Here is a 20,635-nt window from a genome sequence, read left to right as displayed (position 1 = left end):
AAGATTGTCAGCATGAGTCAGAGGGGGCGGGCAGAGTACGCAACTGATCCGAGGACAGGCTCGGCCTCCCACACGCCCCCACCCCCCAACCGGAGTCACTCTCATCAGATGACTTGGCTTGATGCCCTTTGCTTAGATGGATGCAAATCCCTGCCCTGCCCCTCCCAGGCTCACCCTTGACTGCCAGAAGGCACCCCTTGACCTTGAAATTTCAGCCAGACTGGAGGGGGTTTGGGCAGATGCCAACCCCTCAGGACCCTAAAGGAAACCCTGGTGGGAGCCCTCCACTCTGACCTGGAAAGTCTGGGCCAAGGAGTGGGGCATCCGGGTCCCTAGGAGGAGCACAGAGCGAGTATTTGTTCATTCATTCATTCACTCATTTATTCATCATTTATTCAAGAAGCCTAATTTGAGCCTGGAGATGCAAGCCCTCTGCTAGGTGGGGAAGAAAATATAAACCACAAAGCACCAGCCCTGGGGTCAGTGGAGAGGCAGATGTATAAACAGCAAGTTCATTGCTGTGAGGGGGAAGCACAGAGACCACAGGGTGCCTCACCCGGGTTGTGAAGGTGTGGCTTTCTGAGAAGGCTTCCTGAAAGAGGTGGTGCTTGAGCTGAGCATTGAAAGCAACCAAAGTTGGGAGATGACAGAGCAGCCAGACATGGATGAGGCAGGGGACAGGAGGGTCTGTGTGTGAAATCAGCAATGGGAACCAGACAGTCAGGGTGGGAAGTTGTAAGAGACAAGGTCAGGGCCACTGGGAGGAAAGCAAGGGGAAGCAGGCCTCAGGCCGTGGAAGCCCCCCTAATGTACATCAATTTTTTTTTTTAATTTCAGAAACAGGGTCTTGCTCTGCCACCCAGGCTGGAGTGCAGTGGGTGCATAGTTCACTGCTGCTTCGAACTCCTGGGCCCAAGGGATCCTCCTGCCTCAGCCTCCTGAGTAGCCAGGACTATAGGATTGCACCACTGCACCTGAATATATATATATATTTATATATATATATTTTTTAATTTTAGTAGAGACAGAGTTTCCCCATGTTGGCCAGGCTGGTCTCAAACTCCTGATCTCAATCAATCCTCCTGCCTCAGCCTCCTAAATTGCTGGGATCACAGGTGTGAGCCACCACACCTGGTGAAGACACATTGATTTTGTCCTGAGAGTGGAGGACAGCATTGAAGGGAATTCATGGGGACTGAGATCTTCACATTTTCATTTTAGAAAGTGGGTTATATGGGGGCATGGTTTCTTTTTTTTTTTTTTTTTTTTTTTTTTTGAGACGGAGTCTCGCTCTGTCGCCCAGGCTGGAGTGCAGTGGCGGGATCTCGGCTCACTGCAAGCTCCGCCTCCCGGGTTCACGCCATTCTCCTGCCTCAGCCTCCCAAGTAGCTGGGACTACAGGCGCCCGCCACTATGCCCGGCTAATTTTTTGTATTTTTAGTAGAGACGGGGTTTCACCGTTTTAGCCGGGATGGTCTCGATCTCCTGACCTCGTGATCCGCCCGCCTCAGCCTCCCAAAGTGCTGGGATTACAGGCGTGAGCCACCGCGCCCGGCCGGGGCATGGTTTCTTTGGGAAGCAGCTGGAGACTGATTTGTCAGGAGAGAGATGTTGGGGGTCTTTGGGGTGGGCTGGTGGCTGTGGGGATGGGCTGGAGGCTGATCGGTCGCTGCAGGGAGGACGAAGGTGATGGAGGAGGAAGGATAGGGGTTAGGCCAACCTCAGTTTTGAGGAAACCAGAGTGCAGTGTTTAAGAGCTTGGACTATTTCAACCTCTTTGTGCCTCAGTTTCCTCATCTGCAAAATGGGAGTGATCATGAAAGTCCACACCCCCTGTTGTTGCTGGGAGAGTTGAGTAGTGTGGAGGGCTCGGGAGAGTGGGTAGAAACCTGGGCTGGCAGCTGTGATCATTGCTGTGCTGTGACAGCTGTCCTGGTGGGAAGAGGGCATCTGTGGAGCCTCCGAGAGAGAGGTCGGAGGTAGCTGGGTGTGTGGGTCTGGACCTCAGGAACAGCCTGGATTCTGGGCCCATCAGCAGAAGTGCTGGGCAAGGTCCTGGTGAGAGTGTGATGAGGGAGGAGCATGCAGGCCATGGAAACAGCAGCGGTGGCCGCAGAGCAGGAGATGCTGAAGACTGAGGAGGCCCCACAGAGAGGCAGGAGGAGGCTGGGAGAGAGACGGGCAGGCCGGACAGGGGACATGAACCATGGCACAGCCTGCCAGACATCCAGTGAGGCAGGAGATGAGGAGGTCCCCGGCTCTGGTCACAGAGGCCATCAGAGACCCAGGAGTGGGCCATGCTGGGGCGGCGGGAAGGCCAGGCTGGCATGGGCAGAGGAGGGGCCGGCGTGAGGAAGGCGGCAGTGCTGTCACCTGGAGTGACAGCCTCGGACACACTTCCAAGCCGCGTGGGTAGGAGAGGGCCCTGGAGAAAGGGGGAGACAAAGAAAACTACAGAGAGAGAAGATGGAGGGTTGAACGCCAAGAAGGAGACAGCAACAGAAAATCCCCCCAAAAGAGGAAGTAGTGCAGGGTCTGGAGAGGATAGAAGAGGAACTGGCAATTGGGGATGCAGGGCTGGTCTTGTGGGCAGGGTGAGGGCCAGAGAGCCCTCGCCTTCGAGGAGGCCACAATCCCAGCCTTCAGGACACCCCCTTTCCCCGGGTTGAGGTCCACCTCTGGCGGAGGAGGCAGGAGAGGAGGACCCTGGACATATGAAAGACCCCGTCTCCTCTCAAGCTGCCCACCGACTTCCACGGTGCCCCGGGCTCAGCCAAGGTGAACTCGAATTGGAAGAAAGCCATGGTGAGACCACTCGCTTTTAGAACAGACAACTCAGGCTCAGCAAAGAGGAAGACAGGACGTGTCCTCAACTCAACCCACCCCTTTTACAAATGAGAGCCGTGTGACTGCAGCCTGGAACTCAGGGTGTCTAAAACTCATAGCCCCACTTCAGTGAATCATGACTATGATGTTTCCAGAGAAAGGATGGCGCTGGGGAAATGATGTAAGTGAGGAAGGAGGGTGCTGCCCGTCACCCATCTCCTCAGCCCCGTGGGACCCTGAGTCAGCAGAGCCCAGCTCCCCGTCTAGCCTCCTGGGGTGCTCAGAGCCCAGGCTGAGCCCATGGCAAGAGGTCAAGGGCAGAGGGAGGGTCTGGGGGAGTCTGGAGAGCAGCTAGCCTGTCTTGGGCTGATCCTCACCATCCCTGCTCCGTCCCTGAACCCAGGAGCGCTGGTTTAAAAAGGTTCCAGCAGGGCAGCAGGTCAGGGGGGTGTGGTTCTGGCACAAACAGGGGAGGAGGTGGACATGGAGAAACCAGATCGGACGCTGCTGCCTTAATTCGGATCTGATTTGCCTAAGTGAAACTGAAAAATTTGGGGTCTGTCTCCTGTGTCCTTTGTTTTCTGTGGAAAGAAGAGAACAGAAACCTGGTGGGCAGAAACCCTCGGATTTCTGGGTCCGTTTCCGCCCCATCTTCACCCACGGGGCCCGAGTGGAGTTACCCTAAAGTTTCTGCCCTTCCTCTCCCTGCCTGCAGTCACTCTCACTTCTCTCTTTGAAGGACAATCCCTGTTGTACCCCCACATTTTCTTAAAATACAATTTATTTTAATTCTAAAGTGTAAAAATACACAAATACAGAGGTACTCGGGAAGACGCTCTGCTCCAAAAACCCACCCTGAAGGCGTGGCGTTCCGGTGTGGTGACAGTTTGGGAGCACTGTCTGGGAAGCTCAGGAGGTGGAAAGAAGAAGCGGGCATGGGATAGTGATATCGGGCGGCCGACACAGGAGCTGCCATGATGACATTTATAGCACCATGCACTTTATTTATTTTCTTAGTAAAAACAATTTTTTTCTTCTCTCCTTTTTATTTTATTTATTTTTTTAGTAGAGATGGGGTTTCTCAGGCTGGTCTTGAACTCCTGGCCTCAGGCGATCCACCTGCCTTGGCCTCCCAAAGTGATGGGATTACAGGCATGAGCCATCTCACTCAGCTTCTTTTTTAAAATTTTAGATTCAGCAGGTACATGTGCAGGTCTATTACACAGGTATATTGCGGGGTGCTGAGGTTTGCACTTCTGTTGATCCTGTCACCCAAATAGTGAGCAGAGTGCCTGATAGGTGGTTTTGCAGCCCTTGCTCCCTTCCCTCCCTCTCCCCTTCTGGAGACCCCAGTGTCTGTTGTTCCCATCTTTATGTACATGTGTACCCAACGTTCAGCTCCCACTTACAAATGAGAATGTGCAGTATTTAGTTTTCTGTTCCTGCATTAATTCACTTAGGACTATGACCTCCAGCTGCATCCATGTTGCAGCAAAGGACGTGATTTCATTCTTTTTCATGGCTGCATAGTATTCCGTGGTGTGTGTAGCACGTTTTCTTTAACCAATCCACCACGGATGGGCACCCAGGTTGATTCTACGTCTTTGCTATTGCACTTTATTTATACTAGCTAATTGAACCCTCACAGCAGCCCCGCGACGGGGACTGCTGTCACCCCTGTTTCACAGATGCAAAACTGAGGCCCTGAGAAGTTGGGTCATCCTCCTCAGGTCACCCAGCTAGTGTGGGCTGAGGACAGGACTCAAGGTGCTGGAGTCTTGACTATTTGGCTAATGACTTTACTTCCTCCTCTCTGCCCTAAACGCTGCCTGTGTCATATTTGTTCCCTCAACCACTCATCCCACACGCATGGGCTGCCCACATGACATAGGCTCTGGGCTGGCCACTGTGAGAAGCAAGACAAACAGGAAAGGGTCTCAGCCCTCAAGGAGTCACACCCCAGAAGGAGATTACACCCCAGAAGTTTTACTAGACAGCACAGTGACTCTGCTTGATGAATCGCAGAGGGAGAGGCTTGAGATGAATTAGGCAGTGCCTGGTGCTCCAGGGGCTGGGCAGGGACTGCTGGCTTCCACACACTGGGGCCGTGTCCTTCTAACATTTCTTTTATTGTTTTGTTTTTCAGAAACAAAGTCTTACTCTGTCACCCAGGCTGGAGTGCAGTGGTGTGATCAGAGTTCACTGCAGCCTCAACCTCCAGGGCTCAAGTGATCCTCCCAATTCAGCCTCTTAAGTAGCTGGGACTACAGGTATGCACCACCATGCCTAGCTAATTTTTAAATGTTTTGTGAAGTTGGGGGCCTTGCTATGTTGCCCAGGCTGGTCTTGAACTCCTGGCCTTAGGCAATCACCCCCACCACCTCAGCCTCCCAAAGTGTTGAGATTACAGGTGTGAGCCACCACGCCCAGCAGTTTTAACCCTTTTATCCCCAGTTCTTCACACAATGCCTGATACATGGGAGGCACACAGTCCATACTTGGTGCATGAATGAAGTGAAAGAATGGCAGAATGTTATCCAGGCAACACAAGGATCTGATAGTTCCAGTCCCAGTCACGATTGCGGCTCAGTTATGTGCCTGGGAAAGAGCATTTGCTGCAATGGTTCTAAGCTGAGGGTGGGGGAGGGGAAGTTAATAATCAGTCTTTCTCAGTGAAGGATAAAAGATGACACTCTCTAGATGAGAGTTCATTGAAGGGAGATACTGCATCTCACTTCTCCTTGTCTCTCTAACAATGGGCATTGGACACCGAGCAGATACAACCAGGGGTCAGTTCCTGTCTGTGGGTGTAGGATGGATGGGTGACAGGAGGGTGGATAGGTTTGTGTGTGGACAGGTGGATGGATGAAAGGATGGGGTGGAGGGTGGATGGGCAAATGTGTGGGTGGGTGGGTGGGTGGGTGAACAGGTGGATGGGTGGAAGGATGGGGTGGTGGGTGGATCGGTAGATGGGTGGGTGAACAAGTGGATGGGTGGAAGGGTAGATGGGTGGGTGGGTGGGTGAACAGGTGGATAGGCGGAAGGATGCAGTGGTGCGTGGATGGGTAAATGGGTAGATGGGTGGGTGAACAGGTGAATGGATGGAATGATGGGGTGGTAAGTGGATGGGTAGATGGGTGGGTGAAGAAGAGACTGCACAGGTTTGAAGCAAATGGACCAAATGCTCAGCCCCCTCACCTGCAGACCTGCTCAATAATTGCATGAATCAGAAGCCGCCTGGAGCAAAGCAAGAGTCGCCTAAGAGGTAAACTAACTTGAATTGGTGTAAATTTAGAATAAAACAAGGATTTAACTTGAGTAACAGGCAACAGGAAACAAGTCAAGCAGAGGAAATCAATGAGAAGTTGGGGAATGTGGGCAACGCATCCCTGGCAGACAGGGAAATGCTGGGTCATGAGCAAAGGGAAGAGGGAGGAAGGAGCTCCTGCTGGCAAAGCCCCGGGAGAAATGAGGGCTGTCCCTGCTCAGACTCCCACACTGGCAAGCGATTTCACCAGAATGAGAAGAATATGGATTTAATTTGTATTTAAATTCAGTGAAATAGACACACAGGAGAAAAGGGGAAGTGAAGACAAGTCACTGAGAAACTGGGGAAGAAGGGAGAGAAGAGGAAAGATTATAGAAAAGAGGTGGTCACAGAAGGGGGCTTGGGTTTGCAGTGTTGGTGACAACACCCACACCTTCCATTTGAAGGCTTCCATTTGAAGGTGGAGGCTTCCCTCCACCCACCCATCCACCTGTTCACCCATCCACCCACCCATCTGCCCATCCACCCTCCACCCCATCCTTCCATCCGTCCACTTGTCCACACACAAACCCATCCACCCTCCCATCACCCATCCGTCCTACACCCACAGACAGGAACTGACCCCTGGTTGTATCTGCTCAGTGTCCAATGCCCATCATTGGAGAGACAAGGAGAAGAAAGCAGGATAGAGTGGGGAAAGAGGCTAAGTGACAAGGAGCTCTCCCCTGACCCTGACTCCAGCCTGGTCCCCGGAAGCTGTGAGCATGAATGGGTCCTTCCTTGAGGCTGAAGTGTGGCCCTTGGTTCTCCCCGGGTGGGTCAGTCATTGACCACCAGCCATTCTTCCCCACTTCCTCTAGCTTATCCCACTGCCACACAGAAGAAGGGGCTACTCCCCTGCAGGCAAGACCATTCCCCAGAGATTGGGGGCACTTGTGAGCCTTGAGCATCAACACAGCAACTGAGAAATTGGTGTTAACCCAATGTTAACCCTCCAAGCAAGAGTTTTTAAGGGCGAGGTACATTTCAGGAAAGCAGAAGTTACAGGCAAAATCATAAACCAATACCTGGAGGTTATACATTAGTTTGGCCTAAAAAGCCAGGATATCTTGAAGCAAGGCTTACAAGTCATACATGGGTTCAAAGATTCTTTGATTTGCAATTGGTTAAGGAAGGAAAGCTTCATCTAAAAACTTGGGGTCAGCAGGAAGGAATATTAAGGTCTGGCCTATGGGAGTGACTGTCTCTCCAGGGCCCTCAGGAAGAAATTTAGAGCAAAGAATAGTGATCAGAGTTCAGTCTTCACTTCCTCCTTATCAGTGGCCTACATACCAGCAGATGGCATTTTCCATCTGGGGGTGATATGGTTTGGATTTGTGTCCCCACTCAAATCTCATGTTGGATTATAATCTGCAGTGTTGGAGGAGGGGCCTGGTGGGAGGTGATTGGACCATGGGTGCGGATTTCTCCCTTGCTGTTCTCGTGATAGTGAGTGAGTCATCACAAGATCTGGTTGTTTAAAAGTGTGTAGCACCTCGCCCTGGTCTGTCTTCTTTCCTTCTCCAGCCGTGTAAGACATGACTCCTTCCTCTTCGCCTTCCACCATGACTGTAAGTTTCCTGAGGCCTCCCCATCCATGCTTCTTATAATGCCTGAGGAACCATTAGCCAATTAAATCTCCTTTCTTTATAAATTACCCGGTCTCAGGAAGTTCTTTGTAGCAATGCAAGAACGGACTAATACAGTGGGGGTCCAGGTTTCTGAAAAACAACTCAGGGATGTACGTTAAAACCCTTGGTTTTCTGGGGAACCACACATCTTGTGGCTCTCACTTCCTTGGCTATTGTTTGAAGTGACTGTTATCTTCTTGCTTACCGGGCTGCTCATATACTTCTCCAGATTAGCAAGGTGCCTGGAATTCTCCTTGAAGAAACTCAAGATTTTTCTTTATTTCCATGTGTAGGGGAACCCAGCAGGCCTCTGAAACGGATCCACGCTCAGTCTCAGGCACAGACAACATCTAGTGACCACAGAATGATTTCATCTTAATCCCTTTTTAGGGTAAAAGGAGGGAGTGAGAGAATCCCTAGGAAGGTGGGGTGAGAGAACAGAACAGGGCAGAAATCCAGGGTCTCTGTGAGAACTTGAACCAGTGGGGCCGTGCCTGGGAGGGGCTGGGCTGGAGATGCCTGTGTGAATTAAGAGAGGGAGAATTCCAAAGAGGAGGAGTAAGGCAGGGTCATCCCACTCAGCTTCTCTCTCCTGGCCCTGGCATGGTAGCAGGATTGGTCTCAACAGGCAAATGCGTATATGGCAGAACTTGGCAACCAATGCATTCCGTTCACATTCACTCAGCCCAGCCTGCAGAGGGATCTTATCCTTTAATGGCAGTGGGGCATAGGGGGCAGATAAGGGGAAGGATTTTAGCAATTGTTCAAGTCTGCGCCAAGATGGGAATGCCCACAGAGGAAGCAGAAAGGAAATTGCTCTATTGATCTATTTATCACAGTAGCTGGACCAGAGGATTGCGGAAAGACACAAAGACCAACCAAATGAGAACAGGCGAAGTCTATTTATTCAAAGCTGGCTCTAGCAAGGGAGTCAGTGGCCATCACTGGTGTTTTGGCAGAGACTCAAAAATGGGCAGTACAGTAGGAAAGCTTTGTAGTGGAAACTGGGAAGTCTTCAGGGATGCCCCAAGTAGAAGCTGCTGGCCTGGGAAGCTGTATGTGGCTCACTGGAAGCGGGCATCCTGTGCAATTGACTAGGGGACATATTTGGCTTTGTCTGGTTGGTCCTAAGTTGGAAGTAGGGACAAAAATTAGGGAAGCCATCAGTTATTGATTAAGTCCTGGACATGGGGCTGATTGTTAGTTATTGATAGGCTTCCTGGGCTGGTTGCTGCAGGCTGGGGGGCAGATGTCTATTTTTATGTCTAGTCTGACCACTATCCCTTTGTATATTCAGTCTCTTGGACTCTAGAAAATGTGAAGTATGCCAGGTGCGGTGGCTCATGCCTGTAATCCCAGCACTTTGGGAGGCAGAAGCAGGAGGATCACTTGAGCTCAGGAGCTCAAGACCAGCCTGGGCAACACAGCAAGACCCTGACTTTACAAAAATTTAAAAATTAGGCTAGTACTGGCTGGGCACGGTGGCTCACACCTGCAATGCCAGCACTTTGGGAGGCTGAGGTGGGCAAATCACGAGGTCAGGAGTTCAAGACCAGCCTGACCAACATGGTGAAACCCCGTCTCTACTAAAAATACAAAAATTAGCCAGGCGTGGTAGCGGGTGCCTATAATCCCAGCTACTCAGGAAGCTGAGGAAGGAGAATTGCTTGAACCCAGGAGGCGGAGGTTGCAGTGAGCTGAGATCGTGCCATTGCACTCCAGCCTGGATGACAGAGCAAGACTCCGTCTCAAAAAAATAAATAAATAATTAGGCTAGCACAGTAATGTGGGCCTGTAGTCCCAACCACTCAGGAGGCTGAAGCAGGAGGATCCCTTGAGCCTGGGAGATCAAGTATGCAGTGAGCTATGATCGCACCACTGCACTCAGCCTGGATGAAAGAGAAAGACCCTGTCTCAAAAAAAAAAAAAAAAAAAAGAAAGAAAGAAAAATGTGAAGTGGCCCAGTTGGATACTATATGGTCCTGAAGATGTGTTAGGATGAAGGGAAAGGGATGTCTGAGAGCTGTCTCTCCTTCAAGAGTGCACAGAGAATAGGAAGCTGGGGAAACCCAGGCCTGTTCATTCATTCATTCCCTCTCTCAGCAATTGTTTGTTACATGTTCTGGGTATTGTCCTAGGGTCTAGGGGTGTGATGGGGCTTCCTGTCCCCTGGGAATGTACAGTCTCCAGGAAAAGAAATGCAGGTTGCCATGGCAGCAAGTGAGAGGCAGAACTTCTCCCAGCTGGGGGATCAAGAGGATCTGGAGGAAGATCACTTCAGCTGAGGCAGGGGTCAGGTGAACAAGAAAAGGAAGTGAGTTCTGGGCAGAGGATACAGCATAGGCAAAGGTTGAGAGGTGAAAGGGAGTTAGGGGAACGCGGACAGGTCCCGACCTTCCCAGATAGGCCATGTTGAAGCCGGGCTTCTCCGGTAATTACTAATCACAATGCCTTTCACTTTCAGAAGCGTGTTGGTCAACCAAAGTGTGGCTCACCTCGGAAATGTGAGGTTCAAGAGGGAGGGGTGGGCCGGAGCAGAAGCTGAGCTACAGAGGAAGCCAGGGTCTCAAAGGTCACCTCAAAAACAACTGCCCAGGCTCAGAGGCCAGAGTGCTATGTGGAGTCAGGGGACCAGAGTGATTGGAGAGCCGTGTCCTGCCTAATAGGGCAGTTCTGTTGCAGCCTCATATTGCCAAACGTTTCAGTTTTTCTTTTTCTTTCTTTTTTTTCTTTTTCCTTTGAGGCAGGGTATTGTTATGTTGTCCAAGCTGGAGTGCAGTGGTGCCATCATAGCTCACTGCAGCACTGACCTCCTGGGCTCAAGCAATCCTCCCACCTCAGCCTCCTGAGTAGCTGAGACCGCAGGTGTGCACCAGCACACCTGGCTAATTATTATTATTATTTTGAGATGGAGTTTCACTCTTGTTGCCCAAGCTAGAGTACAATGGTGTGATCTTGGCTTACTACAGCCCTCGCCTCCTGGGTTCAAGCGGTTCTTCTGCTTCAGTCTCCTGAGTAGCTGGGATTACAGACACCCGCCACCACTCGCAGCTAATTTTTTGTACTTTTAGTAGAGATGAGGTTTTGACATGTTGGCCAGGCTGGTCTCGAACTCCTGACCTCAGGCGATCCACCAGCCTCAGCCTCCCAAAGTGCTGGGATTACAGGTGTGAGCCACTGAACCTGGCCCTTTTTTTTTTTTTTTTTTTTAAGAGACAGGTCTTGCTATGTTGCTCAGGCTGGTCTTGAACTCCTGGGCTCAAGCAATCTGCCCCCTTTGGCCTCCCAAATGCTGGGATTACAGAACTGCACCACCATGACTGGCCTCCAATTTTTCTTTTTTTATTATTATTATTATTATACTTTAAGTTTTAGGTTACATATGCACAACATGCAGGTTTGTTACGTATGTATACATGTGCCATGTTGGTGTGCTGCACCCATTAACTCGTCATTTAGCATTAGGTATATCTCCTAATGCTATCCCTCCCCCCTCCCCCCACCCCACAACAGGCCCCGGTGTGTGATGTTCCCCTTCCTGTGTCCATGTGTTCTCATTGTTCAATTCCCACCTATGAGTGAGAACATGCGGTATTTGGTTTTTTGTCCTTGCGATAGTTTGCTGAGAATGATGGTTTCCAGCTTCATCCATGTCCCTACAAAGGACATGAACTCATCATTTTTTATGGCTGCATAGTATTCCGTGGTGTATATGTGCCACATTTTCTTAATCCAGTCTATCATTGTTGGACATTTGGGTTGGTTCCTAGTCTTTGCTATTGTGAATAGTGCCGCAATAAACATACGTGTGCATGGGTCTTTATAGCAGCATGATTTATAATCCTTTGGATATATACCCAGTAATGGCATGGCTGGGTCAAACGGTATTTCTAGTTCTAGATCCCTGAGGAATCACCATACCGACTTCCACAATGGTTGAACTAGTTTACAGTCCCACCAACAATGTAAAAGTGTTCCTATTTCTCCACATCCTCTCCAGCACCTGTTGTTTCCTGACTTTTTAAGGATCGCCATTCTAACTGGTGTGAGATGGTATCTCATTGTGGTTTTGATTTGCATTTGTCTGATGGCCAGTGATGATGAGCATTTTTTCGTGTGTCTTTTGGCTGCATAAATGTCTTCTTTTGAGAAGTGTCTGTTCATATCCTTCGCCCACTTTTTGATGGAGTTGTTTCTTTTTTTCTTGTAAATTTGTTTGAGTTCATTGTAGATTCTGGATATTAGCCCTTTGTCAGATGAGTAGCTTGCAAAAATTTTCTCCCATTCAGTAGGTTGCCTGTTCACTCTGATGGTGGTTTCTTTTGCTGTGCAGAATCTTCTTAGTTTAATTAGATCCCATTTGTCAATTTTGGCTTTTGTTGCCATTGCTTTTGGTGTTTTAGACTTGAAGTCCTTGCCCATGCCTGTGTCCTGAATGGTATTGCCTAGGTTTTCTTCTAGGGTTTTTATGGTTTTAGGACTAACATGTAAGTCTTTAAACTATCTTGAATTAATTTTTGTATAAGGTGTAAGGAAGGGATCCAGTTTCAGCTTTCTACATGTGGCTAGCCAGTTTTCCCAGCACCATTTATTAAATAGGGAATCCTTTCCCCATTGCTTGTTTTTGTCAGGTTTGTCAAAGATCAGATAGTTGTAGATATGCGGCATTACTTCTGAGGGCTCTGTTCTGTTCCATTGGTCTATATTTCTGTTTTGGTACCAGTACCATGCTGTTTTGGTTACTGTAGCCTGGTGGTATAGTTTGAAGTCGGGTAGCGTGATGCCTCTAGCTTTGTTCTTTTGGCTTAGGATTGACTTGGCAATGTGGGCTCTTTTTTGGTTCCATATGAACTTTAAAGTAGTTTTTTCCAATTCTGTGAAGAAAGTCATTGGTAGCTTGATGGGGATGGCATTGAATCTATAAATTACCTTGGCCAGTATGGCCATTTTCATGATATTGATTCTTCCTACCCATGAGCATGGAATGTTCTTCCATTTGTTTGTATCCTCTTTTATTTCATTGAGCAGTGGTTTGTAGTTCTCCTTCAAGAGGTCCTTCACATCCTTTGTAAGTTGGATTCCTAGGTATTTTATTCTCTTTGAAGCAATTGTAAATGGGAGTTCACTCATGATTTGGCTCTCTGTTTGTCTGTTATTGGTGTATAAGAATGCTTGTGATTTTTGCACATTGATTTTGTATGCTGAGACTTTGCTGAAGTTGCTTATCAGCTTAAGGACATTTTGGGCTGAGACGATGGGGTTTTCTAGATATACAATCATGTCATCTGCAAACAGGGACAATTTGACTTCCTCTTTTCCTAATCGAATGCCCTTTATTCCCTTCTGCTGCCTGATTGCCCTGGCCAGAACTTCCAACACTATGTTGAATAGGAGTGGTGAGAGAGGGCATTCCTGTCTTGTGCCAGTTTTCAAAGGGAATGCTTCCAGTTTTTGTCCATTCAGTATGATATTGGCTGTGGGTTTGTCATAGATAGCTCTTATTATTTTGAGATATGTCCTATCAGTACCTAATTTATGGAGAGTTTTTAGCATGAAGGGTTGTTGAATTTTGTCAAAGGCCTTTTCTGCATCTATTGAGACAATCATGTGGTTTTTGTCTTTGGTTCTGTTTATATGCTGGATTACGTTTATTGATTTTCGTATGTTGAACCAGCCTTGCATCCCAGGGATGAAGCCCACTTGATCATGGTGGATAAGCTTTTTGATGTGTTGCTGGATTCGGTTTGCCAGTATTTTATTGAGGATTTTTGCATCAATGTTCATCAAGGATATTGGTCTAAAATTCTCTTTTTTTGTTGTGTCTCTTCCAGGCTTTGGTCTCAGGATGATGCTGGCCTGATAAAATGAGTTAGGGAGGATTCCCTCTTTTTCTATTGATTGGAAGAGTTTCAGAAGGAATGGTACCATCTCCTCCTTGTACCTCTGGTAGAATTCGGCTGTGAATCCATCTGGTCCTGGACTTTTTTTGGTTGGTAAGCTATTAATTATCGCCTCAATTTCAGAGCCTGTTATTGGTCTATTCAGAGATTCAACTTCTTCCTGGTTTAGTCTTGGGAGAGTGTATGTGTCGAGGAATTTATCCACTTCTTCTAGATTTTCTAGTTTATTTGCGTAGAGGTGTTTATAGTATTCTCTGATGGTAGTTTGTATTTCTGTGGGATTGGTGGTGATATCCCCTTTGTCATTTTTGTATTGCATCTATTTGATTCTTCTCTCTTTTCTTCTTTATTAGTCTTGCTAGGGCTCTATCAATTTTGTTGATCTTTTCAAAAAAACCAGCTCCTGGATTCATTAATTTTTTGAAGGGTTTTTTGTGTCTCTATTTCCTTCAGTTCTGCTCTAATCTTAGTTATTTCTTGCCTTCTGCTAGCTTTTGAATGTGTTTGCCCTTGCTTCTCTAGTTCTTTTAATTGCCATGTTAGGGTGTCAATTTTAGATCTTTCCTGCTTTCTCTTATGGGCATTTAGTGCTATAAATTTCCCTCTACACACTACTTTGAATGTGTCCCAGAGATTTTGGTATGTTGTGTCTTTGTTCTCATTGGTTTCAAAGAACATCTTTATTTCTGCCTTCATTTTGTTATGTACCCAGTAGTCCTTCAGGAGCAGGTTGTTCAGTTTCCATGTAGTTGAGCGGTTTTGAGTGAGTTTCTTCACCCTGAGTTCTAGTTTGATTGCACTGTGGTCCGAGAGACAGTTTGTTATAATTTCTGTTCTTTTACATTTGCTGAGGAGTGCTTTACTTCCAACTATGTGGTCAGTTTTGGAATAGGTGTGGTGTGGTGTTGAAAAGAATGTATATTCTGTTGATTTGGGGTGGAGAGTTTTGTAGATGTCTATTAGGTCCGCTTGGTGCAGAGCTGAGTTCAATTCCTGGATATCCTTGTTAACTTTCTGTCTCGTTGATCTGTCTAATGTTGACAGTGGGGTGTTAAAGTCTCCCATTATTATTGTGTGGGAGTCTAAGTCTCTTTGTAGGTCACTAAGGACTTGCTTTATGAATCTGGGTGCTCCTGTATTGGGTGCATATATATTTAGGATAGTTAGTTCTTCTTGTTGAATTGATCCCTTTACCATTATGTAATGGCCTTCTTTGTCTCTTTTGATCTTTGTTGGTTTAAAGACTGTTTTACCCGAGACTAGGATTGCAACCCCTGCCTTTTTTTGTTTTCCATTTGCTTGGTAGATCTTCCTCCATCCCTTTATTTTGAGCCTATGTGTGTCTCTGCACTTGAGATGGGTTTCCTGAATACAGCATACTGATGGGTCTTGACTCTTTATCCAATTTGCCAGTCTGTGCCTTTTAATTGAGCATTGAGCCCATTTACATTTAAGGTTAGTATTGTTATGTGTGAATTAGATCCTGTCATTATGATGTTAGCTGGTTATTTTGCTCATTAGTTGATGCAGTTTCTTCCTAGCCTTCATGGTCTTCACAATTTGGCATGTTTTTGCAGTGGCTGGTACCGGTTGTTCCTTTCCATGTTTAGTGCTTCCTTCAGGAGCTCTTTTAGGGCAGGCCTGGTGGTGACAAAATCTCTCAGCATTTGTTTGTCTGTAAAGTATTTTATTTCTCCTTCACTTATGAAGCTTAGTTTGGCTGGATATGAAATTCTGGGTTGAAAATTCTTTCCTTTAAGAATGTTGAATATTGGCCCCCACTCTCTTCTGGCTTGTAGAGTTTCTGCCAAGAGATCAGCTGTTAGTCTGATGGGTTTCCCTTTGTGGGTAACCCGACCTTTCTCTCTGGCTGCCCTTAACATATTTTCCTTCATTTCAACTTTGGTGAACCTGACAATTATGTGTCTTGGAGTTGCTCTTCTTGAGGAGTATCTTTGTGGCATTCTCTGTATTTCCTGAATTTGAATGTTGGCCTGCCTTGCTAGATTGGGGAAGTTCTCCTGGATAATATCCTGCAGAGTGTTTTCCAACTTGGTTCCATTCTCCCTGTCACTTTCAGGTACACCAATGAGATGTAGATTTGGTCTTTTCACATAGTCCCATATTTCTTGGAGGCTTTGTTCATTTCTTTTTATTCTTTTTTCTCTAAACTTCTCTTCACGCTTCATTTCATTCATTTCATCTTCCATCGCTGATACCCTTTCTTCCAGTTGATCGAATCGGTTACTGAGGCTTGTGCATTCGTCACGTAGTTCTCGTGCTGTGGTTTTCAGCTCCATCAGGTCCTTTAAGGACTTCTCTGCATTGATTATTCTAGTTATCCATTTGTCTAATTTTTTTTCAAAGTTTTTAACTTCTTTGCCATTGGCTCAAACTTCCTCCTTTAGCTCAGAGTAGTTTGATCTTCTGCAGCCTACCTCTCTCAACTCATCAAAGTGATTCTCCGTCCAGCTTTGTTCCATTGCTGCTGAGGAGCTGTGTTCCTTTGGAGGAGGAGAGGCGCTCTGATTTTTAGAGTTTCTGGCTTTTCTGCTCTGTTTTTTCCCCATCTTTGTGGTTTTATCTACCTTTGGTCTTTGATGATGGTGACGTACATATGGGTTTTTGGTGTGGATGTCCTTTCTGTTTGTTAGTTTTCCTTCTAACAGTCAGGACCTTCAGCTGCAGGTCTGTTGGAGTTTACTGGAGGTAAACTGCTGATACCCTGTTTGCCTGGGTATCAGCAGCAGTGGCTGCAGAACAGCAGATATCGGTGAACCACAAATGCTGCTGCCTGATCATTCCTCTGGAAGTTTTATCTCAGAGGAGTACCTGGCTGTGTGAGGTGTCAGTCCACCCCTACTGGGGGGTGCCTCCCATTTAGGCTACTCGGGGGTCAGGGACCCACTTGAGGAGGCAGTCTGCCTATTCTCAGATCTCAAGCTGCATGCTGGGAGAACCACTACTCTCTTCAAAGCTGTCAGACAGGGACATTTAAGTCTGCAGAGGTTATTGCTGTCTTTTTTTTGTCTGTGCCCTGCCCCCAGAGGTGGAGCCTACAGAGGCAGGCAGGCATCCTTGAGCTGTGGTGGGCTCCACCCAGTTCGAGCTTCCCAGCCACTTTGTTTACCTACTCAAGCCTGAGCAATGGCGGGCGCCCCTCCCCCAGCCTCACTGGCACCTTGCAGTTTGATCTCAGACTACTGTGCTAGCAATGAGTGAGGCTCCATGGGTGTAGGACCCTCTGAGCCAGGTGCAGGATATAATCTCCCAGTGTGCCATTTGATAAGTCCATTGGAAAAGTGCAGTATTAGGGTGGGAGTGACCCGATTTTCCAGGTGCCGTCTGTCACCCCTTTCTTTGACTAGGAAAGGGAATTCCCTGACCCCTTGCACTTCCCGGACGAGGCAATGCCTCACCCTGCTTCGGCTCATGCACAGTGCACTGCACCCACTGTCTTGCACCCACTGTCCTGCACCCACTCTCCGGTACTCCCCAGTGAGATGAACCCGGTACCTCAGTTGGAAATGCAGAAATCACCCATCTTCTGCATCACTCACGCTGGGAGCTGTATACTGGAGCTCTTCCTATTTGGCCATCTTGGCTCCACCCCCCACTGGCCTCCAATTTTTCAAGAAAAACTATAAATACAGATTCCTCTCAGAAATCTCTCAATTTTAAAATGTCAGCAACTAATCAAAAACAAACAAACAAGACCATGTGGGTCAAATAAGACCTGACAGCTGGATTTGGTCCAAAGGCTGTGAGTTTGGAATCTCTTTTCTGAATTGGAAGTGATTATGAGCTAAGAATCTCCAAAAACAAAGCCTGTGTGTTTTCCCTGGGAAAGGGAAATCCACACCATCTGGGCACACATCTCTCGAGAATCACTCCAGAAAGGGAGGGAAGCACCTTTCTAGCAGCTTTCTCATGCATCTGCAGGGGGGACAGGTCACAGCCTATTTCTCTATCAGGTCATCCTGCCACCAGGTGGGAAGGAATGAAGGGAGAGGACCCACCCCACAGTGCTCTCAGAGATGGAGGGTAAATCCCTAGAGACCAAGCCACATGGGCTCATCACGGAAGGTCCTACACATGGAGAAAACATAACTGCACCTGTGACCATCTTGGGGACCCTCTATTTTGAGTGCTGGCCTTATCATGAGTAGTGATAAGAGGAAAGGGATTAAAATGCTAGAAGCTGGGGTAGCTGCACCATCAAGAGGCCTTCAGAGGCCGGGAGTGGCAGCTCACACCTGACATCCCAGTGCTTTGAGAGGCCAAGAAGGAAGGATCACCTGAGGCCAGGAATTCAAGACCAGCTTGGGCAACATAGCAAGACCCCGTCTCTACAAAAAAAAATCATAAAACAATCAGCCAGGCATGGTGGCACATGCCTGTAGTTCCACCTACTCGGGAGGCTGATGTGGGAGATCACTTGAGCCCAGGAGCTCAAGGTTGCAGTGAGCTGTGATCACGCCACTGCACTCCAGCTTTGGCAGCAGAGCGAGACACTGTCTGAAAAAAGAAAAAGAAGAATAAGAAGAAGACGACTTCGGCCTTTACCACAATTGGGAGAACAGAATCTTTGGGAAGGTGGTGATATCAATTAACAAAACAGATAAACTGCTGTATCGGAGGCTCTGAGTGATAGTGTTTTCAACAAGACCAGTGTTCTCATCTCTCTCCTGTAATGGCATGAGAATATGGAGTCCAGGGCTGACATGGTGCCTCCGCAGAGGCGGGACCCAGCCTCCTCTGTTCCACTCTTGCATTCTTCGATGTCAAACTCATCTTCAGGGTCCAAAATTGTGCACCGTGATGCTGACACTCCAGCCAGCGGGAAGGTGGTGAAAAGAAACGACACTTCTTCCCTCAAAGGACCTGGCTCCGAAGTTGCTCGCTTCACTGCTGCTCACATCCCATCAGCCAGAACCTCGCCAGGCAGCCACACCAGCTGCACAGGAGGTGGGGAGACGAACCCTATAACTAAGGGGCTATACGCAATATCCATTGCAGCGTAACAAACCACCACGCAGGACTGAGACATCAGTAATTGATTATTTCTCACAGTTGCATGAGGTGACAATCCAGGCAGTTCTGTGGGACTCTCCAGTGGCTGCAGGTGTTGGACAGCTGGATGGAAGGATCACAGCAGCCTCATGCATGCACAGTGGCAGTGGCCTCCGCTGTCTCCTCCATGAGTCCACTCTTTCTCCAGTGGGCCATATGGATCACGGCGTGGTGACCTCAGTGTTCCGAGGGGTGCAGGGCAGGATCTGCTGTGCTCCTAAAGGTCTAGGCTCCAGAACTCACACGACCACACTCCTACTGTATTCTATTAATCAAAGCAAACCACGGGACCAGCCCAGATTCAAAGAGGTAGACAGGCCGCACCATGTGATGTCAGGGACAGCAATGTCACACTGCAAGGGTGTAGGGCCGGGAAGCACCATTCACTGGGAGTCAGAATTGTAACCATCTCCCATGGTGGCCCAAATTAAGATTCTACTCTAAGTAGGAAAAGGAGAGTGGATACTGAAGGGATTCATTTATTCTGAAGTGAGAAATCCCCAAAAATAAAAGCAAGCAGACGTTCCTGGACTTGGCCACTTATCACCAGATTTATGGTCCTGTTTATTAGTCACTTTGTGGTCATGCTAGGGAAATCTGTCGCTTGAAATGATTGACTTTTCTAACCCATCATAAAGCTCCTATCTGGCTGAATTCAACACAAGCTTCTCATTTGAAGACGCGGAGGTGAACTCTGAGTTCACAGGACTTTAACTGCCCTGCAAAGACTGGCGGCTACAGGCACGGAGGCTGCAAGGACAGGCAACTACAGGTATGGAGGCTGCCAGGACAAGCAACTAGGTACGAAGGCTACAAGGACCAGCATGGAGGCTGCAAGGACAGGCGACTACAGACATGGAGGGTGAAAGGACAGGCGACTAAAGGTACAGAACTCTCTCTGTTCCCGGAGCAATTCAGGACTTCTGCAGATATTGAGGACTTTTATCTTTCAACATAAGGAAACACAGAAATTCTTAACAGACTTTATTTAAGTCAGGAGAGGAAATAGCAAAGAACCGTCTAAAGGTGACCGTGTTTTGTGTCACCCCCACAGATACAAAGGGCCATTGTCTCATTAGCCACCTTTTGAGGGCATCTCACTTCACTTTGAGTGAAATTGGAACTACTCACTCTGGCTTACAAAGCACTCATGCCCAAGCCCTGCCCACTCTCCCAGCCTCCCCTGCCCTCCCTTCTGCCTGGAGATCTTCTGGCCCTGCTTCAGTCAGGTGTCACCTCCCTTGGGGACCCTTCCTTCACCTCCCTAAGGAGTAAGCCCTCTCTCCTCCTGCCACATGTGAAACAAGTGTCCCTCTAAGCCATGATTTTCTTGTATTTCAATGAAGATCATGAAATTACCATTTTTTGGCTGGGCACAGTGACTCACACCTGTAATCCCAGCATTTCGGGAGGCCAAGGCAGATGGATCACCTGAGGTCAGGAGTTCAAGACCAGCCTGGCCAACATGGTGGAACCCCATCTCTACCAAAAATACAAAAAAAAAAAATTAGCCAGACATTGTGGTGCACGCCTGTAATCCCAGCTACTCAGGAGGCTGAGGCAAGATAATCACTTGAACCCGGGAGGGAGAGGTTGTAGTGAGCTGAGATCACACTACTGTACTCCAGTCTGGGCGACAGAACAAGACTCCATGAAAAAAAAGAAAGAAAGAAAGAAAGAAAGAAAGAAAGAAAGAAAGAAAGAAAGAAAGAAAGAAAGAAAGAAAGAAAGAAAGAAAGAAGGAAGGAAGGAAGGAAGGAAGGAAGGAAGGAAGGAAGGAAGGAAGGAAAGAAAGAAAGAAAAAAGAAAGGAAGGAAGGAAGGAAGGAAGGAGGAAGGAAGGAAGGAAGGAAGGAGGAAGGAAGGAAGGAAGGAAGGAAGGAAGGAAAGGAAGGAAGG

At 47.9% G+C, this 20,635-nt stretch overlaps 3 annotated features.

The window, feature by feature from the left end:
• Positions 201-390: an enhancer, noted in NCBI's record as "active region_10763". NCBI's record gives its function as "activates an Ori minimal core promoter by ATAC-STARR-seq in GM12878 lymphoblastoid cells {active_cell/tissue: GM12878}" and the evidence as "EXISTENCE:reporter gene assay evidence [ECO:0000049][PMID:35858748]".
• Positions 581-710: an enhancer, noted in NCBI's record as "active region_10762". NCBI's record gives its function as "activates an Ori minimal core promoter by ATAC-STARR-seq in GM12878 lymphoblastoid cells {active_cell/tissue: GM12878}" and the evidence as "EXISTENCE:reporter gene assay evidence [ECO:0000049][PMID:35858748]".
• Positions 3,121-3,270: an enhancer, noted in NCBI's record as "active region_10761". NCBI's record gives its function as "activates an Ori minimal core promoter by ATAC-STARR-seq in GM12878 lymphoblastoid cells {active_cell/tissue: GM12878}" and the evidence as "EXISTENCE:reporter gene assay evidence [ECO:0000049][PMID:35858748]".

This window comes from Homo sapiens, chromosome 16 (assembly GCF_000001405.40).
Source record: "Homo sapiens chromosome 16, GRCh38.p14 Primary Assembly".
Lineage (NCBI taxonomy): Eukaryota > Metazoa > Chordata > Mammalia > Primates > Hominidae > Homo > Homo sapiens.
The sequence above is the reverse complement of the archived record's forward strand: the minus strand, read 5'-3'. Positions and strand labels throughout refer to the sequence as shown.